Below are 25,379 nucleotides of genomic sequence, written 5' to 3'. Positions count from 1 at the left end.
GGGTGTGAAGTGGTATGTCATTGTGAATTTAATTTCCCCTAATGACTAATGGTATTGAGCATCTTGTCATGTGCTCATTGGCCATTTATAGATCTACTTTAGAGAAATGTCTATTCAAGTCCTTTGCCCATTGTTTTGTTTTGCTTCATTTTTTATTTTAGGTTCAAGGGGTGAATGTGCAGGTTTTTACACGCATGTATTGCAAGATCCTAGAGCTTGGGCTTCTAATGATCCTGCCACCCAAGTAGTGAACATAGTACCCAATAGGGAGTTTTCAACGCTTGCCCTCCTTCTCCCTCCCCACTTTTGGAATCCCTGGTGTCCACTGTTCCCGTGTTTGTGCCCATGTGTCCCCAGTGTTGAGCTCCCACTTATGAGTGAGAACATGTGGTTTTTGGTTTTCTGTTTCTGCATTAATTCACTTAGGATAATGGCCCCCAGCTGCATCTATGTTGCCACATTGTACATGATTTCATTCCTTTTTCTGGCTGTGTAGTATTCCATAATGTATATGTACCAATTTTCTTTTCTTGTCTTTTCAGAGACAGGGTCTCACTCTGTCACTTAGGCTGAAGTGCAGTGACATGATCACAGCTCATTGCAGCCTCAACTTCCCAGGCTCAAGCAATCCCCCTATCTCAGCCTCCTGAGTAGCTGGGACTGCAGGTGCATACCACCACACCTGGCTAATTTTTGTATTTTTGGTAGAGACGAGGTTTCATCATGTTGCCCAGGCTGGTCTCGAGCTCCTAGGCTCAAGTGATCTGCCCACCTTGGCCTCCCAAAGTGCTGGGATTACAGGCGTGTGCCCCTGCACCCAGCCTGTACCACATTTCCTTTATCCAAGCCACACCATTGAGGGGCACCAGGGTTGATTCCATGTCTTTGCTGTTGTAAATAGTGCCGCAATACACATACAGGTATAGGTGTCTTTTTGGTAGAAGGGTTTATTTTCCTTTGGGTAAATACTTAGTAATGCGATTGTTAGGTCTAACTGTAATTCTATTTTTAGTTCTTTGCCTTTGCTCATTTTTAAATCAGGTTTTGTGTGTGTGTGTGTGGCTGAGTGTTACTTCTTCCTTGAATATTACATAAATCAAGCCATCTGGGCCAAGAGGTTTCTGTTTGGTCTTGTTTTTGTTGGAAGGCTTTTCTATTTTAGATTCACTATCTTTATTAGGTACAAAATTACGTAGGTTTTCTGTTTCCTTTCCCAGTTTTGGTAAGTTGTATTTTTCTAGGAATTTATACGTTGCACCTAAATTTTCAAAATTTTTGACATATGTTGCTCATAATGTCTTCTTATTATCTTTTTATATCTCTAGGGCCTGTATTAAAGTTCCCTTTATGCCTAATATTTACTATTTATGGCTTTTCTCTTTTACTTTATTGGTCTCACCAGATATTACCAATTTTATCCGTCTTTTCCAAGAGCCAAAACATGGCATGGTTGATCATCTCTATTGTGTGATTGTTTTATTTTAGAAATTTTCCTTTAAAGATATAAAAAATAATTTAAAAAATAAAAGTAAATAAAAAATACTTTTAAAAACTTTATTTTTTTCATTATCTTCCTTATATTTTCTTTGGATTTGTTTTACTATCAGTTTTCTAGTTTTTTGAGATGGATGTTTAGTTCATTAATTTTCAGCCTTTATTCCTTTCTTCTATATGCTTTTAAGACTATAAATTCCCTTAATTGTTGTTTTAAGGATATAAATTCCCTTAACTATTATTTTTCTGCCTCCCATAGTGGACTAAACTATTTTCTATTACTTTAGTGTTTACCAAAGAAATTACCATGCACTCATGACTTAGCAAAGTCTAATCTTGGTTGATACTTTTACCCTCCTCCCAGAAAACTCAAGGACCTTAGAACAATTTAACTCTATTTGGTCCCTTCCAGATCTATATGCTATTATGTACTTTAATTCTCTCTCCTACATATTTTACATTACATGAGTTATTATTATTATCATTTTATAGTTAGCATTTACTTAGATTTGCCCACATATTTGCCATTTGCATTATTTTTTATTCCATTCTGCATCTCTGACCTCCCATCTGTGATCATTTCCCTTTTTCCTGAAGAACCCTTTAGAATTTCCTTTAAAGGAGTTCTGCTAGTGGCAAACTTCCTCAGTTTCTATTTATCTGAAAACATCTTTATTTCACTTTGATTCTGAAGGATATTTTCGGTGATGGTAGAATTCAAGTTTGGCAGTTACTTTTCTTCACACGTGGAATAAATTTTTCCACTGTTTCCTGACTGTCATTGTTGCTTCTGAGAAAACAAGTGTCAGTTTATTAATTCTTTTAAGGTATCTGGGCGATTATTTTGTTTTGTTTTGTTTTTAAGATTTTCTCTTTATCTTTGGTTTCCTGCAGCATTATTCTGATATATCTAGGTAGGAGTGGATTGCTTTACACTGCTTGCAATATGCTTCTTGGATTTATGGGTAAATGTCTTTCAATCATTTTAGGAAATTCTCAGCTATTATCTGTTCAAATATGGCTGCTGCCTCCTTTCTTTCCACTCTCCTTTTAGGAAAACAATTACATATTTGTTCTTTCTTATCACTGAATCCTCAATGCTTCTGGTCCCCTCTTCTGTATTTTCTATCCTTTTGTCTCTTCATGCTTGATTTCTTATAGTTTCTTCCGACCTAGATTCCAGTTTACATAACTTTTCTTCAGGTGTGTCTAAGGTGAAATCAAGCCTGTTAAAGCGAACTAAATATGGCCTGAGGAGGACTCTGTACTTCTCTGTTTGAGTCCTTGTAGACAAATCATAACCTAGCTTAATAGGCAGACAAGACTGAAAACCTAACGTAGGAGTATGCACCTGTAACAACAGCTGGGTCTTGGCCATTCCCAGAAGCCATATTTCAGCCATCCACAGGCTGCTGAGTGTTCAAACTGTGTTCAAATAAGGCAAAAGCCAACCTGTAACCAATCCAGCTGTTTCTGTACCTCACCTCCAATTTCTGTATGAAACATCCCCCCCGTTTTTTGTTTTTTGTTTTTTGTCTATAAATTTGTTCTCACCACAAGGCACCTCTGAAGTCTCTCTGAATCTGCTATGATTATGAGGGCTGCCCAATTTGTGAATCATTCACTGCTCAATTAAACTCCTTTAAGTTTAACTTGGCTGAAGTTTTTCTTTTGACAAGTCTATCTGTTGAATTTTTATTTTGTTTACTGTATTCTTCAGTTCTGGAATTTCTATTTGTTTCCTATATATACGTGTGTGTGTTTGTGTGTGTGTGTGTGTGTGTGTATTAATGCTATGTTATTTTTTCCATTTTAATTTTTTAAATTTCGTTTTGCCTTCTGAACTTTTAAATTACCAGTTTCAACTTCCTCAAATTTCAAATTTAGATTTTTATCTCCTTCAGCATAGTAAGCAGACCTCTTTTACAGAATTTGGATTTTTCTTTTCTTTTCTTATTTTTACTCTTGTTTCTGTGGGTTCTTACTTCTAGCTCTTTTCTTCTCACGTAGCTGGTATCTTAAAAATTCTTTGCAAAAACAATGTAAAGCCTAGAATGTTTCCTTCCTCCAGAGATGATTGCCATTTGCTTTTCCAAGCACCTGTGAACATTAGAAATTGGGCACCACTTTAATCCAATATATGGATTGGATTATGGAACACTTTAATCCAATCCCATTCACATTTTCAGTCACTGTATAATCACAATGCAATGTGCTCAGAACTATGATAAAGGAACTACAGTATGCTATGCAAGCCAGAAGGAGAAGACTATAAACCTGACTGGAGTAGGAAGGCTTACCGGAAATGCAAAGTCTAAAGTGGGACTCAAGGAGTGAATAATGAATTGACTTCTTCACTCCTCATCCACTATGACCTAGAAACACTTCTTAAAGATGGCAAATCAGTTTCAGGTTATTGCAATGGGAACCGAATGGTTGTAGGGTGGTGGATTTGGAACTCAGACCAACTTGGCTTCCAATTCCAGTTCTACCACTTACCAAGAAACTTTGAACAAGTTTCCTGGCCATGTCAACCTTGGTTTCCTGACCTATGAATTAGGAAGACATATTATATGCTTCATAACATGATGAGGATTCAATGAGATGTCACCTAAAAGCACCCGGTAAAATGTTTGTCACATAGAAAAGGTCAAAAAAATTGTCAATTCTTTCTTCTCTTTGTGCCTAAACCAAGTTTACTCTAGTAACAAAATTTATTCCTTTTCCTTCATTAGCAGAGTGTATTTGAAAATTTGGGGCAGAAGAATCCCAAGGGAAGTCATTCTAGATTCTCTTTGAATAGAGAATTCCTGCATACAAGACTAACTTCTTAACCCCACCAAGGGCTTTGCTGTGAGTCCAGTCAACAGCACTCCCTACCCCCTACAATTGAGTCTAACAAGCAGCATATACCTAATCACAACTTTCATTAAGTCAGCATGAACAACCCATTAGATATGATGATCCCCATTTCAAGGCAAGAAAACTGAGGGGCTGGGAGGTTAAATGTTGGGTCTCTGATTGGCTCCAGATCACGTGTTCTGCATCATTCTACCTCCTGGAGGGGCCTTGGGAATGCAGCAGCAACAAGTCCAAAATTTATCTCTTCCACATAAAATTAAAACTCCTCGGTTCTTTAGTGATGACAGCCAGGGAATTATTTCATAGTAATGGAGATAGAGCATTGAGTGTTTTTACTATGACTAGAAATGCTTTGAAACTGAACCCCAGGCACTGCCTTATCTGATTTAACCTTGTACAGCAATTTGCAAGACAGCCAGCTGCCATGTTGGAGCAGCGGTGCTCTTGTCAGGGAACCAAACAAGCTTTGGCAATCTGCATAACTAGGAACCAGTTTGCTGACTCTGACAACTTTTGCTTTGTTAAATGGAGGCAAGGATATTTGAGGCAAAAACCCACTAATGGTTTGAGTCAAGGAACTTTCCTTTTAAAATACAGATATACCGTACCAACTACTTCCCATCCTACAATTATCAAACCCATCAGTTTTCTTTTTGCTTTAGGGATTGGTTGTTACAATGTGACTACTTCCCTCCCAACTGAGATCTGATGATAAAAGGAAATGAAACAAGCATTTTGTTAGTATTTATCAACATTTAAGTTGTACCCTGCTAACAGTTCTTGGATCTATCACAGAGAATCACATGTGCAGAAGGAGATGTGTGCAGAAATGCTCACTACAAATTTGTTTGTCACATTGAGAAACTGAAAAACAGACCAAATGTGTCCAACAGTAGGGAATGGCTAAAAAGTGTAATATTGCCAAACTACAGAATACTATTCAGCAGCTAAAAAGAGTAAGGCAAATCTATTTTTCTCAGGCTGAATTTCTTAGATATACTATTGAGTGAAAACTCACTCCCACACAATAATAGTGGGAGACTTTAACACCCCACTGTCAATATTAGACAGATCAACGAGACAGAAAATTAACAAGGATATTCAGGACTTGAACTCAGCTCTGGCAGACCTAATAGACATCTACAGAACTCTCCACCCCAAATCAACAGAATATACACTCTTCTCAGCACCACATAGCACTTATTCTAAAATTGACCATATAATTGGAAGTAAAACACTCCTCAGCAAATGCAAAAGAACAGAAATCATAACAAACAGTCTCTCAGACCACAGTGCAATCAAATTAGAACTCAAGATTAAGAAATTCACTCAAAACCACACAACTACATGGAAACTAAACAATCTGCTCCTGAATGACTACTGGGTAAATAATGAAATTAAGGCAGAAATAAATAAGTTCATTGAAACCAATGAAAACAAAGACTCAATGTACCAGAATCTCTGGGACACAGCTGAAAGCAGTGTTTAGAGGGAAATTTATAGCACTAAATGCCCACAGGAGAAAGGGGGAAAGATCTAAAATCAACACTGTAACATCACAATTAAAAGAACTAGAGAAGCAAGAGCAAACAAATTCAAAAGCTAGCAGAAGACAAGAAATAACTAAGATCAGAGTAGACCTGAAGGACATAGAGACATAAAAAAACCCTTCAAAAAATCAATGAATCCAGGAGCTGATTTTTTGAAAAGATGAAAAAAGTAGACTGCTAGCCAGACTAATCAAGAAGGAAAGAGAGAAGAATCAAACAGATACAATAAAAAATGATAAAGGAGATATTACCACTGATTCCACAGAAATACAAACTACCATCTGAGAACACTATAAACACCTCTACTTAAATAAACTAGAAAATCTAGAAGAAAAGGATAAATTCTGGACACATACACCCTCCGAAGACTAAACCAGGAAGAAGTCAAATCCCTGAATAGAACAACAAAAAGTTCTGAAATTGAGGCAGTAATTAATAGCCTACCAACCAAAAAAAAAAAAAAAAGCCCAGGACCAGACAGATTCACAGCCAAATTCTAACAGAGATACAAAGAACAGCTGGTACCATTCCTTCTGAAACTATTCCAAACAGTACAAAAAGAGGGACTCCTCCCTAACTCATTTTATGAGGCCAGCATCATCCTGATACCAAAACCTGGCAGAGACACAACAAAAAAAGAAAAGTTCAGACTAATATCCCTGATGAACATCGATGTGAAAATCCTCAATAAAATACTGGCAAACCGAATCCAGCAGCACATCGAAAAGCTTATCCACCATGATCAAGTCAGCTTCATCCCTGGCATGCAAGACTGGTTCAACATATGCAAATCAATAAACATAATCCATCACATAAACAGAACCAAAGACAAAAACCACATAATTATCTCACTAGATGCAGAAAAGGCCTTCAATAAAATTAAACACCTCTTCATGCTAAAAACACTCAATAAACTAGATATTGATGGAACATATCTCAAAATGATGAGCTACTTATGACAAACCCATAGCCAATATCATACTGAATGGGCAAAAGCTGGAAGTATTCCTTTTAAAAAACCAACACAGGACAAGGATGCCCCCTCTCACCACTCCTATTCAGCATAGTATTGGAAGTTCTGGCCAGGGCAATCAGGCAAGAGAAAGAAATAAATGGCATTCAAACAGGAAGAGAGGAAGTCAAATTATCTCTGTTTGCAGATGACATAATTGTATAATTAGAAAACCCCATCATCTCAGACCAAAATCTCCTTAAGCTGATAAGCAACTTCAGCAAAGTCTCAGGATACAAAATCAATGTGCAAAAGCCCAGTCATTCCTATACACCAACAATAGACAAACAGAGACTCAAATCATGAGTGAACTCCCATTCACAATCGCTACAAAGAGAATAAAATACCTAGGAACACAACTTACAAGGGACCTGAGGATTTTTTCAAGGAGAACTACAAAGGACTGCTCAAGGAAATAAGAGAGGGCACAAACAAATAGAAAACATTCCATGCTCATGGATAGGAAGAATCAATATTGTGAAAATGGCCATACAGCCCCAAGTAATGTATAGATTCAATGCTATTCCCATCAAGCTACCATTGACTTCCTTCACAGAATTAGAAAAAACTACTTTAAATTTCATATGGAACCAAAAAGGAGCCCATATATCCAAGACAATCCTAAGCAAAAAGAACAAAGCTGGAGGCATGATGCTATCTGACTTCAAACTATACTACAAGGCTACAATAACCAAAACAGCATGATACTGGTACCAAAACAGACATGAAGACCAATGGAACAGAACAGAGGCCTCAGCAATAACACCACATGTCTACAACCATCTGATCTTTGACAAACCTGACAAACACAAGCAACGGGGAAAGGATTCCCTATTTAATCAATGGTGTTGGGGAAGCTGGCTAGCCATATGCAGAAAACTGAAACTGGACCCCTTCCTTACACCTTATACAAAAATTAACTCAAGATGAATTAAAGACTTAAACATGAGACCTAAAACCATAAAAACCCTAAAAGAAAACCTAGGCAATACCATTCAGGACACAGGCATGGGCAAAGACTTCATGACTAAAATACCAAAAGCAATTGCAACGAAAGCCAAAATTGACAAATGGGATCTAATTAAACTAAAGAGCTTCTGCTCAGCAAAAGAAACGATCATCAGAGTGAACAGGCAACCTACAGAATGCGAGAAAAATTTGCAATCTCTCCATCTGACAAAGGTCTAATATCCACACTCCACAAGGAACTTAAACAAATTTACAAGAAAAAAACAAACAACCTCATCAAAAAGTGGGTGAAGGATATGAACAGACACTTCTCAAAAGAAAACATTACGTGGCCAACAAACATGAAAAAAAGCTCACCATCACTGGTCATTAGAGAAATGCAAATCAAAACCACAATGAGATACCATCTCATGCCAGTTAGAATGGCAATTATTAAAAAGTCAAGTAACAACAGATGCTGGAGAGGATATGGAGAAATAGGAAAACTTTTACACTGTTGGTGGGAGTGTAAATTAGTTCAACCATTGTGGAAGACAGTGTGGCGATTCCTCAAGGATCTAGAACCAGAAATACCATTTGACCCAGCAATCCCATTACTGGGCATATACCTAAAGGATTATAAATCATTCTACTATAAAGACACATGGACACATATGTTTATTGCAGCACTATTTACAATAGCAAAGACTTGGAACCAACCCAGATGCCCATCAATGATAGACTGGATAAAGAAAATGTGGCACATATACACCATAGAATACTATGCAGCCATAAAAGAGGATAAGTTCATGTCCTTTGCAGGGACATGGATGAAGCTAGAAACCATCATTCTGAGCAAACTAACACAGGAACAGAAAACCAAACACCGCATTTCTCACTCACAAGTGGGAGTTGAACAATGAGAATACATGGACACAGAGAGGGGAACATCACACACCAGGGCCTGTCGGGGAGTGGGGGACAAGGGGAGGGATAGCATTAGGAGGGATTACAGGAGTGAGCCACTGCCCCTGGCCTTGTTTCCTTTCTTAAATTAAAAAAAAAAAAAATTTTAGAGACAGGTGTCTCACTATGTTGCAGAGGTTGTATTCAAATTCCTGGGTTCAAGCAATCCTCCCAACTCAGCCTCCTGAGTGGCTGGGGCCACAGCATGCACCACCATGCCTGGCTTGTGGTCAGTAATCTTGGTGTTACTACTGTAATTGTTTTGGTGCCACGAACCACACCCATATAAGACAGTGAACTTAATAAATGTTGTGTGTTCTGACTGCTCCACTGACTGACACCCTCCCATCTCTCTCCCTCCCTTAGGGCCTCCCTATTCCCTGAGATTTCAACAATATTGAAATTTGGCTAATTAATAACCCTACAAGGAACTGTAAATGTTCAGGTGAAAGGAAGAGTCACACATTTCTCACTTGAAATCAAAAGCTAGAAATGATTAAACTTAGTGAGGAAGGCATGTCAAAAGCTGAGACAGGCCAAAAGCTCTATCATTTACACCAGTTACCCAACTTGTGAATGCAAAGGAAATGTTCTTGAAGGAAATTAAAAGTGCTACTCCAGAGAAACATGATAGATAAGAAAGAAAAACAGCCTTATTGCTGACATGCAGGAAAATGTAATGATCTGAATAGGAGATCAAACCAGCCACAGCATTCCTGTAAACCAAAGCCTAATCCAGAGGAAGAGCCTAACTCTTTCATTCCATGAAGGCTGAGGGGGAAGTGAGGAAGCTAGCCAGGGTTTGGTTCAAGAGGTTGAAAGAAAGAAGTTGTCTCCATAACATAATCATAAAAGTGCAAGGTGAAGGAGAGCTGATGGGGAAGCTGCAGCAAGGTATCCAGGAGACTCAGCTAAGATGATTGATGAAGGTGATTACATGAAACAAAAGATTTTCATTGTAGATGAAACAGCCTTCTATGGGAAGAAGATGCCATCTAGGGCTTTCATAGCTAGAGAGAAGAAGTCAATGCCTGCCTTCAAAGCTTCAAAGAACAGGCTGACTCTCTTGTTAGGAGCTAATGCAGCTGGTGACTTTAAGTTGAAGCCAATGCTCATTTCCATTCCAAGAATGGGCCCTGAAAAATTATGCTAAATCTAGCCTCCCTGTGCTCTATAAATGGAACAAAGAAGCCTGGGTGCCAGCACATCTATTTACAGCATGGTTTACTAGATATTTTAAGCCCACTGTTGAGACCTACTGCTCAGAATAAAAGATTTCTTTGAAAATATTACTGCTTATTTACAAGACACTTGATAACCCAAGAACTCTGATGAAGATGTACAAGGTTAAAGTAGTGTTCATGCCTGCTGACACAACATCCCTTCTGCAGCCTGTGGATCAAGGAGTATTTTGACTTTCAAGTCCAATTATTTAAGAAATACAATTTGTAAGGCTATAGTTGTCATAGACAGTGAGTCCTCTTATGGACCTCAGCAAAGTAAACTGGAAAACTTCTAAAAAGAATTCACCATTCCAGATGCCATGAGGAACATTCATGATTTATGGGAGGTGGTCAAAATAACATCATTAACAGTTTGGAAGAAGTTGATTCCAACCCTTATGGATGACTTTGAGGGGTTCATGACTTCAGTGGAAGATGTAACTGCAGATGTGGTGGAAATAACAAGAGAACTAGAATTAGGAGTGGAGCCTGAAAATATGACTGAATTGCTTCAATCTCATGAATAAGTTGGCCAGATAAGGATTTGCTTCCTACAGATAAGCAAAAATCGTGGTTTCTTGAGATGGAATCTACTCTGGGTGAAAATGCTATGAACACTGTTGAAATGACAACAAAAGATTTAGAATACTACATAAACTTCATCGATAAAGTAGCATAGGGTTTGAGAGGACCACCTCCAGTTTTGAAAGAAATTCTACTGTGGGTAAAATGCTATTGAACAGCATCATCTGCTACAGAGAAATCTTTCATGAAAGGAAGAGTCCATTGATGTGGCAAATCCACTGTTGTCTTATTTTATTTTAAGAAATTGCCACAGCCTCCCCCACCTTCAGCAACCACCACCTGCAGCATCAACATCAAGGCAAGACCATCAACCAGCAAAAAGATTACGACAATTTAGACATTCCCATGAATGTAACATACACATCTTTGGAATGTGGGAGGAAGCTGGAGAACTCAGAGAAAACCCACGCAGACATGGGCAGAATGTGCAAACCCCACATAGAAAATAGTAGCCTAGGCTACTGCAATCACTGAAGGCTCAGATGATTGTTAGCATTTTTCAGCAACAAGGTATTTTTAAATTAAGGTATGTACATGCTTTTTAAAGACATAATGCTATTGCACACTTAATAAACTATAATATAGTGGAAATGTAACTTTTACATGCACTAAGGAAAGCAAAAAATTCATGTGACTTGCTTTATTGCTGTGGTCTGGAACTGAATCTGCAATATCCATAGGTATGTCTGTACCTACTCTGTAAGATTAATGTGAGGAACATAAGAGGTGGCAAATTTAAATGGTCCAGTACAGTGCCTAGCATGTAGCTGGCCCTGGGTGAACATTCATTCCTATCCCTTTTCCACTCAGTGAGTCTCGTGGATGTATTGCAGGAAGGATAGTGGTGATGTGGTAAAGGAGAGGAGTGGAGAATTTCATCCCAAAATCAATCATCTAGCCATTAGGTGAAAGTGCTTGATTTCTCCCATGATCGGCAGAAGGAAGCTGCCATGGGCATGCGCCCAACAAGGGGTGCTCTCAGCCTCTTAAAATGTTATACATTCCTCTCTACTGGGCATGGCCCTGCAGTGCCTCAGCAACTCCTCACCAACCTCACTTCCCAGAAGGTCAGCTCATGTTCCTCTACCCATCTCCAGAGGCAGGGGTGAAACAAAAAAAGCAACACTCCAAGGAGGGAGCCTCTCCCAGCCTCAACTCAGAGGCTTGTCTCAGAGGCGGCCTCACCCATTGGACTCCAGTGCCTTTCAACAGTTGAGTGGCTACCATAGTGTGTGTTTTCAGGGGATGGTTCCTATTTCTCCAACAAACCCCATGCTGGTCAACTGCGAATGCAGCAAGGAGCCACCCAATGGGATTCCTCTCTGCCTCATAGTTCAGCCCAAATATTCAACTGAAAGCAAGTTAAGGGCATGCACAGGGTTTTTTGTGCAATGGCCTTGACCTTGGCCTGTAAAGACCACTAACCAACCAAGATCAGAGCCTCCAGAAGACCAAGTGGGGCCAGCAGAGGACCCTGGCCATTCCTTTCAAAAGAATTTTCATTCCTAAGGAACAACTGGCCAACTTGCCCAGTGGTCTTGACATCTCTTGCCACTTTCACGTACCCTGCCTGAGGGTTCAATTTAGCTTCTGTAGTAGAATAAGTGTTGGTGTCCACCCAACAACCATTTACCCTACCCTTCAATTAGGAACGTTGTCACTCACCACCTCATGCTTAGTCCAAGCACCAAGGTGAATTGACTCCACCCCCCACTCTCAGGATGGCATAGGACTTGGGAATGGTGAGTTAGATTATTCCATTCCCTTCACTGTGGCAACTGGACACATTGCTCAGAAAGCCAACAAAGCCATCAAGTTGCAATTAGGCTTTTTTCTGGGACTGCTGAGCATGAGGCAAGTCCATGATAATGAACTTGACCCTGGAGGAAGGTAGGCATGAAGCTGCTCAGTGCCACCGTATGAAGAGGAGAAGGTGGCATTAACACAGAGGAGAGAAGAGCAGAGCAGAGAAGACAGGACAGCTGATGGCACTGTGTGAGTTCCTGGATCAAACCTTGCCTGATGTATGCCTAGCATGCATCCCTACCTAAGCCAATCTATTGTCTTTCTAATAGAGGCCAATTTGAGTTGGTTCCATGTCTTAAAAAAGAAATAGTTTTCACAAATACATCTTCTGTTCCTTTGGCTGTCTTGACTTTGCACTGTGGACAGGGTTATCTGGTTAGACTCAGCCTTCATGGGTCTCTAACTCAGGACCCCACTTCCCTCCCAACTTCTCTTCTCAAATTCTTAGAACATTGCCTTGGGGCTTCTGGTTGGAAGACAGGCTTTGATTCCAGGAGCTCCAGAGCTCCCCAAGTCGGGCAGCTGCAGGCTGTCTTCATCCACCACTAGATGCCAACCACTGTGGAAGCTCTATCCATTCTATCTTAAAGTTTCCAGCCCAGACAGTGAAGACTCTGATCCCAGAGGCTGAGAAACAGCGGGAAAAGTCACTACTGTTCACAGAAGAGTAGGTGGGTGAAGCCAGTTTCTCTACCACCACCACCACCTCACAGCAGCCCAGAGCATCAGAGCTCCTGCCTCTGAGCCACATTGGGAAAGCCTCGTGAAGTACATGATGCCCTTGTGCTATTCCAAAGTCAAGTCAAATGGACGAAAGTCACACACAGTCTGGATCAATCTGGGAGCCTGAACTGCCCCTTAGGGAGGCTGAGAACAGCTCTTACCGGCTGATTCACTCCCACAAATGGCCACTGAATATTGTCAGCCCAGGTTTTCCCAACAGAGAATAGAGACAGCCACACTCCCACCTCCAAACCTGTCTTTTCTACCACGTCCTCTGGACATCAGGAGCATGCATTGTGTGGTTCTAGAACCTGGACCAGAAAGGTGACAGCAACCTCTACCCCCTCCCTAGCCCCACTATGCACCACCTAAATCAGCAACAGAGAGCCCTGTGGGAGGCTGGATGCCAGTGGAATCCACACCGCAGTACCAGCAGAGAAGAAAGATGGTCACAGTCCCTTTACAAATTGAACTAATGCACTCAGAATTCTCATGGAGCAGGGAAAGTGCAAGAAGCTCATGTCAATGGTCCTGAGCACTCCATGGAAACCATCCTCCATATGGTGCCAGGTCACGGGCACTCCCAGGTCTTCCAGCCTTTTCTTGTACAACAGTGAATTGTCCCGGAGAGCATCATACTCACAGCTCACGATGCAGGTTTCCGGGAGCTGAGACACTATGTCATCTTCTGCAATCAGGGGCGAGCACATCACATCCAGGACAACACTTACTTCCAAGTAAGCAGCTTCATTCATGGGCTCATGGGGCTTCAGTTGGTAACCCCTCTCCTTAAACCTCTCAGGGATGTTTTCTGGGCCCAACCACTTTCTGTACTTTTCCCAGACTTCAGCAGGCAAATGGGCACCTTTCATGATGACCTCTTGCCAGGAGGAGCTGAAATCCAGGTTTTGAAAAAAAAAGTAGCAGATGAAACTCCAGGTGAGCAGTGGGATGTTTTTCCTCTGTTGAAACGAAGGGGTTTGTAAATCCAGGGCTTGGAGAATGGCATAGATCAGGATCTGAGCCCGGATCCGGGGCAGATCTGGCCTGTCCACAAGTTGTTGACAAACCACTGCGGCTATTGCCCCTCCGAAACTGTCACCGCAGACCACAACCCGGGCTGGATCCACTCCATATGCATCCAGGGACTTCAGGAAGTGGATGGTGGCCACCAAGCAGTCTCTTACTGGCACTGGAAACTTATGCTTAGGTAACTTGCGGTAACTAAAAAGGAATCAAGAAACACAGTTGATAACGCCCCGGCAGATCCAAAATATCAGCGTCTAGCATCTTTTAGCCCAAATTAGTCCATTCACTTCCCTTTGTGAAACTTGAGCAGTTAAAGTTAGGTGTGAGGCTTAAATGAGATGAGACACATAAAGCCCACATACCTAGGCAGGTGCCATTCCTACTGTCTCAATGCCCTAATGGGGGACCTGTGTCACGAGACATCCACCAATTGGCCAACAATGTAAATATCACCCACACTAGCCCCATCTTCCTGAACCTGCCTCATGTTGCTTCCCTGACTCACCTGCTCCTGCTTCCTGTTTTATGATTCTTGTATGAGCAACTTCAAGACCTGCTTGGGTTTTTAATTAATCATGCCATACCTACAGATTTTGTTAAGGGAGATCTTGTAGACTTAAATACAGCAGGTTGGCCAGGCCGGTGGCTCATGCCTTTAATTTCAGCACTTTGGGAGGCTGAGATGGGCCGATCCATTGAGTCCAAGAGTTCAAGCCCAGCCTGGGCAACATGGTGAGACCCCACCTCTACAAAGAGTATAAAAAATTAGCTGGGCATGGTGGTGGATACATGTAGTCCCAGCTACTCAGGAGGGTGAGGCAGGTGGATCACTTGGGCCTGGGAGGTTGAGGCTGCAGTGAGCTGTGACCATGCCACTGCACTCCAGCCTGGGTGACAGAGTGAGACCCTGTCTCAAAGAAGAAAAAAAAAGCAGGGTCTCAAATAATGTCATTTCATTCAACATTGTTTCATTATATTGATGAAAGAAAGAAAAACGATTCCAGCCTGGGCTACTACTGTTTGTGTGGAGTTTGCACATTCTCCTCATGTCTGTGTGGGTTTTCTCCCAGTCCTCCAGTTTCCTCCCACATCCCAAAGATGTGTATGTTACATTCATGAGCATGTCTAAATTGTCCCGGTCCAAGTGAATGTGGTTGTAGGTGTGAGTGTGCCCTGCAATAGGTGGGTGTCCTGTCCAGGGTTGGTTCCTGCCTTGTTCCCTGAGCTGCAGGGATAGGATCCAGCCACCCACGACCCTGAACTAGAATAAGTGAGTTGGAAAAGGAATAGATGAAGGAATATAAATTATTGCAAAATAAAAATGCATAAAGCCAACCGGGTGCAGTGGCTCACGCCTGTAATCCCAGCACTTTGGGAGGCCGAGGCAGGTGGATCACCTGAGGTCAGGAGTTCAAGACCAGCCTGACCAACATGGAGAAACCCCGTCTCTACTAAAAATACAAAATTAACCGGGCGTGGTGGTGCATGCCTGTAATCCCAGCTACTCAGGAAGGCTGAGGCAGAAGAATCCCTTGAACCCAGGAGGCAGAAGTTGTGGTGAGCCGAGATCGCGCTCTTGCACTCCAACCTGGGCAACAAGAGTGAAACTCTGTCTCAAAAAAAAAAAATTATAAAGTCAGCCAAGCACAGTGGCTCAAGCCTATAATCCCAGCACTTTGGGAGGCCAAGGCAGATGAATCGCCTGAGCTCAGGAGTTCAAAACCAGCCTGGGCAACAAGGTGAAACCCTGCCTCTACCAAAAATACAAAAAATTAGCCAGGCGTGGTGGTGTGTGTCTGTGGTCCCAGCTACTCAGGAGACTGAGGCACAAGAATCACTTGAGCCCAGGAGGCAGAGGTTGCAGTGAGCTGAGATCGCACCACTGTACTCCAGCCTAGGTGACAGGGTGAGATCCCATCTCAAAAACAAAAAAATGCATAAAGTTTACAATAATCATACATCTACACAAAAATAAATGATGCAGTACAGAAGCTCTCAATGAGGCTGCCACATTTGTGAGTGGTTTTGAACTGGGAGACAGTCAGAGGTACTCCTGACAATTTTTACCTTGTAAACATTTATTCCTAGATTTAACCCACCACCAGAATGACCACCATCACTCACTGATTCACCAAAAATTGGGTAAATAATTATTATTTTTTTTAATCTTTTAAAAATATATGTATAGCTCACTTTTATTTCAATTTTTAATATTAGCAGGTGTTTTTCTTTATTTAGAAGGTTAGGGCAGGCATAGTGGCTCACACTTATAACCTCAGCACTCTGAGAAGCTGAGGAAGAAGGATTGCCTGAGCTCAGAAGTTTGAGACCAGCCTGGGCAACATGGCAAGACCTCGTCTCTACTAAAGAAAATTATAAAACATAAAAGTAGTAAAATAAATTTTTAAAAAATTTTTAAATAAATTAGCTGGTGTTTTTGTGACCAGAATTATACCATCAGAGCTTGATTCTGTCTATATCAATTAGCCTAGGTTTTGTAATAGGTAAAATTGGTTTCACTCCAAGTTACAGTTCCAAGAACCTGTCGACATTGCTGAGGACTGACTGTACCACCAGAGGCCAGAGATACACAGCACTCTTCCAAACAAGCTATGCACACTCAACACCATGGCTGCCCTGCCTACCTGGTATTGCTAAGAGATTCCAGAAATCCAGGTTTTGTGAGAAAGTTCACTATTTTTAAATGCTGGTCACAAATTAAAAAAAAAAAAAAGACAAAGAAACACTCTATGGGAGCAACAAACAAAACTTCCATCAGCTGTTTCCATTCCATACCCCCATTTCAGGCCACCCGGGAATAGGACATCCTGGAAAGCAATGCCCTTAACTCCAAAATCCTGTCTACCTTGGATTTAGAAAAGAACTTTCTGGCAGAGACTTGCTAGCATGTTCTACTGACGATCTCTTGGTTTGGTACAATCAGAATGACAAGGTGTCCGGCAACATCCCATGATCCCATGGTAGAAACCCTTCTGGAGCTGAGAATTGTAAAGTCAGGGGTTTATCCAGGTCTCTCTCTCATCTCATCTCTTCATTTTCTTTTCCATTTTTTTTTTTTTTTTTTTTTTTCAGACGGAATCTCACTCTGTCACCCAGGCTGGAGTGCAGTGGCGCCATCTCAGCTCACTGTAACCTCTGCCTTCTGGGTTCAAGTGATTCTCCTGCCTCAGCCTCCTGAGTAGCTGGGGCTACAGGCACATGCCACCACACCTGGCTAATTTTTGTATTTTTAGTAGAGACAAGGTTTCACCGTGTTGGCCAGGCTGGTCTTGAACTCCTGGCCTCAAGTGATCCACCCACCTTGGCCTCGTGCTGGGATTACAAGCGTGAGCCACTGCACCCGGCTTCATCTCTTCGTTTTCTACTCACCTCAGGTAGCTGTGCCACAAGAAAGCTGGCAGATGTACCCCCACTGAGATGCAGAGAACTGATATTTCTTTAAAGTGTGTACCTTTAAATGAAACTACAGGGAAACTTAACCAGGAGGAACCACGTGTGTGATGCTGCATCAGGCAGCAGGACAGGGGACCCCATGCCCACCACGCCCTCTTTGAGGCTCCAGGCTGGGCGGTGACTGTCAGAGATCTGTTAGGAGAGACAATGGGTTTGTTTTTGTTTTTGTTTTTCTCACTTTCTTCAGTGGGTCTCAGCCAGGGGGACCTCCCTTTTGGGAGCACTTGGAAGTGAACGTGGCAGCATTTCGGGTTGTTTGAGTGATGGTGCGGGGTACCACAGGCATTTAGCAGAAGGAGGTGCAGGGTTGTTTTACTCAAAGAAGAGCTATGTTGTCCAAGTGTTCCTGCAGTGAAACTCTGCACCTGAACTGCTTAAAAAAGACCACCTCCTACCCAGCTTCAAAATGCACAAAACGCCTCTGTTTAAACAAACCCAAGGCCCACATGCACAGAGGAAGGGGTTCCCCATTCTCTGTCTCTCCATCTCTCTTCACCTCCCCTTATTTTTCTTTCACTCTCTTTTTCTTGTTTTGTTTTGTTTGTTTTAAGACAGGGTCTTGTTCTGTCACCCAGGCTGAGTGTAGTGGCGCAATCACGGCTCACTGCAACCTCCCAGGCTCAGGTGCTTCTTCCTCCTCGGCCTCCCAAGTAGCTGGGACTACAGACATATGCCACCACACCTGGCTAATTTTTGTATTTTTTGTAAAAATGGGGTCTCACTATGTTGCCCAGGCTGGTCTGAACTCCTGGGCTCAAGCATTCTGCCCACCGTGGCCTCCCAAAGTGTTGGGATTACAGGCGTGAGCCACCACACCCAGCCGCCTTCTTTTTCTCTCTTCACTGGCTTCTCCCAGCCCATCCCCACCTCTGGGCTTCCTCCAGCTCCCATCTGCTCCCATCCCCCACCCCCCACCCCCATTTCTACTTCTCACCCCATCTCTCCACATCAGAGCCTTGCTCCTTGCTGGCTCCCTGGGATCTCCCCTTTACTCACCCAACTGCCAGAACCACGGAGTCACTCTCCTTGCACAAACGAGAGCATATGCCATGGTGGGTTTCTAGAAAATAAATGGTTTTTAAGATTCACTAGGAAGGCTTCCTTTGCCAGCCATTGTCACCGTCTTCTTCCTACAGACACAGCACTTGGGCCGATGCCGACTAGGTTTTCCTCTACTCCAGCAAACTTCCGGTCAATCTTCTCACTGATTCTCCTTCGTGGTACTGCCTGAACAACTTTCTCTAAGACGCCCACCCTCCAATCCATCCTACAAGCCATTAAAAATATCTGTGAAGCTCTTTGACTGTAGAACGCAGAGGTTTAGGGTGTGAGCTCTGGATTCAGACTGGAGTTCAAATCTCAACTTTGCCCCTTTCTAGCTTGAGCTAACATAGTGCCTAGCAAGTCTCTTAACCTCCTGAGGCTTGATTTCCTCATCTGTGAACTGGGGTAATGAAAATATCTAACTCGTAGAGTGTTGGAGTTGGAATGAGATCATCCACATATAGGGTTCTCACAGTGCCTGCATGTAATTAGTAATATTAATGAATATTGCTTAATAAATATTGGCTGTTACTATCATTCTCATACAGACCAAACCACACCACCATTGCATTAAATCCTTTATTCTCAAAGGCTCCCACACTGGGACCCTGGCATTCCACAGATTAGAAAGCACTACTGAAAGCAAATAAAGGTGTTTCCTCTCCCCTAATTCCCTGGGGGTAATAACTAAGACAGTAAAATTGTCTCAATAGTGACTTTTTCCTCTCATTGATTTTTCTCAAATCTTCCTGTCTGTCTGTACCAGAATTTGTCTTAGCAAAACCTGATGTGAAACAAAATGCTGTGTTTTAATTCTTTTCATTTAAAATATCCTTATTTCCAACTAAATAGAGGTGGTGATTATAAGTAAAATAGTGAAATATACATGTATACATTTATATGTACATACATATGTACACATATAAATGCAAGTAAGGGTACATTTCAGGATCTTTACCTTACAGTATCCTTCCTTATATTACAGTATTGTTAATTTAACTAAGGATTACATTTATGTAAATAAGGAGATACATAAGAGGGCAATATATGCCATATTTTTGCCCCCTCAATGATCTGCAAACCATGAACTGCCCTGGTGTTCCCTGATAATAATAGCATACTTTAAGTCCCAGGAAGATGCCCATTCTTCCAAGTTATGTTAAGGGGTGCCACCACCCTTTAGGAGGTCTGAGAAAATGGTTCTTACTCAAACTCCCCATGACGCCCCCGCCACCGTGGTAGTACACGATGCCAGGCTTCAGGGTGCAGGTGGATGCCTTGGGTTGGTACAGCTTCACAGGGATTGTCCCAAAGCGGAAATCCGTGACCACAACATCGGGGTCATACTTTAGCGGAGGCAGATCTTGCATGAAACAGAAAAATTGGGGCATAGAACAGATTCTGAGCTTCTCAAATATCATCCCCTGTTGGAGAGAGAAGAAATGATGGGTCGAGATGGGTTTCTTCACAGGCCATCTGGAGTCTGGCCTTCACAACCTGCCCTCCACAGGTGGCAAAAGGAGTTTTTGGAAACTGCAGTCAGATTGGATTACAGCCCTACTCAAGCCCTCAGTTCCCTCAGGACACCTGCAGGAAAATCCACTCCCATGCAGGCCCAGGTGGCCACAGCACCAGCCAGCCCCTCTCAACCCACTCTCCTGACACCTTCCACTGCAGCCACTACAAGCCAGGCTTCTGGGCACCCTTGATGGTCCCTCTACTTGCAACACCCACCTCCACCACGAGGCCCTGCTCCACCTCAGCCTGGGCGCAACATCTGTTTCCAGGGAGGCCTTCCTGTGCCGTCCCAGCCAATCTGGCCACCCCAAGCCTGTGTAGCTAACTATAGTGTGGGTACATTTTTTAAAAACAGGAAGGGGGAGTTCATATCTTTTGAAAATGCCTACTGAAAATTTTTAGGATAAAATAATATGATGTCCATTGGCTTCTTAAATAAATGAAAATGAGGGAAAAGTTAGAGACATTTAGGGACACAGGGAAGGGAGACAGGCCAGGAGTCAGTGATGGTGACACTGGAGAGTGGGCACCCTGTTCCCCTTTGGTATATGTCAAAGTTTGCATAAAGGGTTGAAAATACAGCCAGGCACAGTGGCTGATACCTGTAATCCCAGCACTTTGGGAGGCCAAGGCTGGTGGGTCACTTGAGGTCAGGAGTTCAAGGCCAGCCTGGCCAACATGGTGAAACCCAGTCTCTACTGAAAATACAAAAATTAGCCGGGTGGGTGTGGTGGTGGGCTCCTGTATTCCCGGCTACTCGAGAGGCTGAGGCAGAAGAATCTCTTGAACCCTAGAGGCAGAGGTTGCAGTAAGCCGAGATCATGCCATTGCACTCCAGCCTGGGCAACAAGAGTAAAACTCCAGCTCAAAAAAAAAGAGTTAAAAATACGTAAATAAAGAGGGCTCTCCCTCTGGGTATCCTTTCCAGTGTTTCCTAATCCTTGTCTGTGCCACAGCCATTTTGGCCTTGGGAAAAGCTGCAGGCCTCATTTGAGAACTTTTTTTTTTTTTTTTTTTTTTTGGAGAGAAGAGGCCTCATTATGTCACCCAGGCTGGTCTCAAACTCCTGGACTCAAACAGTCCTCCCACCTCAGCCTCCCAAAGTGCTGGGATTACAGGTGTAAGCCACTACACCCAGCCCAGAACATTTTTAAATACATAAAATAAATACATGGGATTATAAAGAAAAGCAGTGTTATTTAAATATACTTATCAAAATATTAAAATGTATGTCATAATAATATAGGTTCTTCCTTACTAGCACATAGAGTAATAAGATCTAACTGCTGCCTGATACTACCCTAGTTTCAAAGAAATGAGGAGAATACATGAGTTTTCGCAATATCTAATAGGCAATGCAAATATGTCTGATTTCTCTTGGTGAAAAGTCGAGGTCTGGCTTTCAGGACTGTGGTTTGTTGCCTTCATTCCTCATGAGAAGAATTTCAATTGGAAGTTAGTTGTGAACATGGGGTAATTTTGACCCCATCCAAATCCATGACCCCCTTGTGTTCTGTGACCCAAATCCATGACCCCCTTATGTTCTGTGATCCAAATCCATGACCCCCTTGTGTTCTGTGGCCCCGGGGGCTCAAGATGCCCCAGGAGAGAAGCCCTGCTCGGCTCCCCTGACGGGTTTTGCTGTCCTCCTTGCATTCTCCGCTTTGGGAAGCTGTTTATCTGTAGCTTGTTCTATTGTGGGTTAGCTTCTTTATAGACCACTTCCCCGCTGCCCACTGCCTGGACCCTACAAGCTCCCTAAAGGCAGACCTGTGGAACTTTACCTCTCTCACCTGTCATTGGCCCTAGAGCCCAGGACTGGCGTAGGACACACAGCAGTTGCATAACACATCTTTGCATAAAAAATAAAAGAATCAACAAAGAGTAACAATGGCTACTATTTAAGGAGGGCTCCCTCTGTGTCAGGCATTATAATAAGCCTTCTGGAGAGGGTTATTCATGGAGTCTCCACAAAACCCTGTGAAGTAGGAGCAATTTTCCCTACTTTGCAAAAGAGGAAATCGAGTCACTGTATTTGGGAGCCTGGACTACAGAATCTGAGCATCAAGGGTAGGAAAACCTAGGACCCAATCACTGCATCTTATAAAAGCTGACTGGAGATCAGAAGCCTAGAGTTCCCGGGATCTTCTCTTTTAGGTAATAGCTACATTCTTTTGAATAGCATAGAAATTATTTTGAATAGCATAGAAGACACACCTAGGGTGTCTCTTGAGAAGAGGCACTGGCAATTGCTTTTCGTTATGTAAGAAACTTACAAAAAATATTTTGTATATTCAGTTTCTGTCAAGGCACAAGAAAAAGTACAAGAAATCCGTATTGGCAACACCTACACAGTTCCATTTACAGGTATTTTAACAAATTACACCAGAAGCAGAACCAAACTATATTCCCTAGGCAGCTTTCTAGCTCTCAAAAGCAACAACATATTTTTAAAGTCACATTCTGTAATTTTGCTCACCGGCACTAATCTACTCATCCGCTACCCTTTTACTTTGTGGCTTGCTGGCTCTAGCTAACAGGTAGATAGCAGTGGGGGCCCAGAGACTCAGGAAAATTCATTCATATCTTCACAACTTCTGAGAGTGGTGAGTGCTGTGAATAATATGGACACATTTATGGACACGTGAAAGGTACACTTAAAAATGCGAAAGATGGTAAATTTTATATGCATATTTTACCTCAATTTTAAAAATAAAACAAACCAACAACAACAAAAAGAAAGTCAGCGGGAGACACTCAGGTGAATAGAACCAGACTGGTTTTTTCTTTCTGTTAACTGAGAAAGCAGATCATTCTTTGAATTTTGTGAATATTAGCCAGGGCCAGCTTCAGAAACACCCAAAGAGGCTGAGAACCACCTAATAGGGATTATGCACATTTCAGAAGGTCTGATCAGCTGTCACTGCAGGCCCCATGATACCGGTGTTCATTCAGCTAGAAGCTTCCGGTGTGTGATTTTTCCTGCCGCCTTCCTTAATGGTCAGCTGGAGGGGACACATAAAGCACAAAACTCACCCAAGTCAACAGCAGCTGGAAGATGCAATGGAGGACTCTCAGTTTCACAGGGTGGCCAACCGCTGCAGGGATGTGCACAGTGAAAAAATGGCTGCAAATGACCCACAGAGTGACCCCTAGTGAGAACACGCAGGCTGCTGCGAGGAAGATCAGGGCCAGGTCCCACATGCTGCTTCCAGCTCAGAGCGGGCTGAGAGGAAGCTGTGCGCAGTGTAAACCATTTAGGACATGGTTCAGAGCCAGCAGACCTCCTCCACTTATAAGTCACACCTGTCCTCCCCCACCTCCCTGGGTCCCACAAACACTGGCCCAGCCCAGGTGAGTCACAGGCTCAGGTGAGGATGTGGTTCTAGGACAGGGCCCATGCAGAGAAGAAAGTGGCCCATCCAGCCGGATCCAGCCACAAAAGAAAGTTCTAGAGTCCCAGCTTACAATCTGGCACTGCTAACTAGAAATAGTCTTGGATAAGCCACCAAGTCACAATGGACATCATAAACACGATTCCTCCCACCGGCCCTCGGACCTCATCCCCCCACTCTGTGATTCAACTCCAGCTTATCATCCATCCATCAGCCTGTGGAGGATGTCCCAGAGCTGTTGTACGGCAAGCCATTCTCTGTACACCATTCTTCCCCTAGACCTCGGCTAGACTCCATGCCTCCCCTCTTGCTGGTCTCTGCTCAAATGTTGCCTTCTCAGTGAGGCCATCCCTGGCAATCTTATTTAAAATTTAACTCCCGCCAGCATGCCTACGCCCACCTTCCCCAGCCCCACCTTCCCCATCCCCCACCCTTTCCACCCCCCCACCTTCCACATCCCCCACCTTCCTCATCCTCCACCTTCCCCATCCCCCATCTTCCCCATCCCCCACCTTCCTCACCCCCCCACTGCTTGGTTTTTCCCTGTGACCTTTATCATCACCTGCCTCACTTGTCTGTTTATTGTCTGGGAGGACAGGAATTTTCTTTTTGTGCCATTTTATCACCAGAGGCTGGATTGGGGCTTGGTACTTTGTAGGTGCTCAGCAAATGCCTATGGAGTGAGAGAATGAATAGACAGGCTTTGTCCTCTTTCTTGCAAATCTGGGAAACTGTGCTTGCTTTCCTCTTTCTTGCAAATCTGGGAAACTGTGCTTGCTTGCCTTTCCAGGTCAGGTCAGAGGTTGATGTCACCATTGGAAATCTTCCCTAACAACCAAGTCCCACATCTGCAGTAACAATAGTAATATCTGCTGTGTCTCCCGCCTCCCAGCTTGAGTGAGAGAGCAGTGGTTCTCAGACAGGAGAGATTTTACCTCCCAGAAGATATGGGAATATCAGAAACATTTTTGTTGTCCCCACTCAGGAAGGGCCAGAGGGCTGGTTCTAGAGTGTCATAGACAAGAGGCCAGGGATATTGCCAAACATCCTGCAATGCACAAAGACTTATGCAGTCCAGCAAGCCGATAGTATGGTGGTTGAGAAACCCTGCATTTGCAACACTTGAATTTGAATCCTGGCTCTGCCAAATGCCAGCATGCTGATCATGAGCACGTTATGTGCAATCAGCCTCAGTTTCCAAGTTTGTCAAATGGGGATAATAATAGTACTCCCCACTCCATAGGACTGTTGGCTGCCTCAAGAACACCAGCCTGTGTCAAGCACTAGTATGAGTCTGGCACGTGGGAAGACTTAATTAGATGTCAGGAAGCCAGCCTGAAGCATTCTTTCTTTCTTTCTTTTTTTTTTTTTCTGAGATGGGGTCTCATGCTGTCACCCAGGCTGGAGTGCAGTGGTGCAATCTTGGCTCACTGCAGCCTCCATCTCCCAGGCTCAAGTAATCTTCCCACCTCGGCCTCTGGAGTAGCTGGGACTACAGGTGTGCACCACCATGCATGCCCATCTAATTTTTATTTTTATTGATTTATTTGTGTGTGTGTGTGAGAGAGAGAGACTGAGTCTCTCTCTGTCACCCAACCTGGAGTGCAATGGCACAATCTCAGCTCATTGCGACCTCCGCCTCCCGGGTTCAAGCAATTCTCCTGCCTCAGCCTCCCGAATAGCTAGGACTACAGGTGTGTGACACCATGCCAGCTAATTTTTTTTGTATTTTTAGTTATTTTTTATTTTG

At 42.9% G+C, this 25,379-nt stretch overlaps 1 protein-coding gene across 2 annotated transcripts, besides 1 other annotated feature; it reads right to left on the bottom strand.

Moving 5' to 3' along the window:
• Positions 1-10,854: 10,854 nt before the first annotated feature.
• AADACL3 (arylacetamide deacetylase like 3) lies at positions 10,855-23,505 on the bottom strand. Of its 2 annotated transcripts, NM_001103170.3 has the most exons (4): positions 23,271-23,505; positions 19,924-20,140; positions 18,669-18,732; positions 10,855-14,393 (listed from the first exon to the last, which is right to left on the bottom strand). In NM_001103170.3, exons 1-4 carry the CDS (start codon positions 23,436-23,438, stop codon positions 13,619-13,621), a joined length of 1,224 nt encoding a protein of 407 aa, NP_001096640.2. In that variant the 5' UTR covers positions 23,439-23,505; the 3' UTR covers positions 10,855-13,618. The 2 variants fall into 2 exon arrangements, 1 of the variants encoding a protein (NP_001096640.2); NR_111984.2 differs by lacking the exon at positions 19,924-20,140.
• Positions 22,831-24,030: an enhancer, noted in NCBI's record as "P300/CBP strongly-dependent group 1 enhancer chr1:12775588-12776787 (GRCh37/hg19 assembly coordinates)". NCBI's record gives its function as "activates an origin of replication core promoter dependent on BRD2, BRD4, P300/CBP, MED14 and CDK7 cofactors, with strong dependence on P300/CBP, by STARR-seq in HCT116 cells {active_cell/tissue: HCT116}" and the evidence as "EXISTENCE:reporter gene assay evidence [ECO:0000049][PMID:35650434]".

This window comes from Homo sapiens, chromosome 1 (assembly GCF_000001405.40).
Source record: "Homo sapiens chromosome 1, GRCh38.p14 Primary Assembly".
NCBI lineage: Eukaryota > Metazoa > Chordata > Mammalia > Primates > Hominidae > Homo > Homo sapiens.
This window is presented reverse-complemented; position numbering and strand designations above follow the sequence as displayed.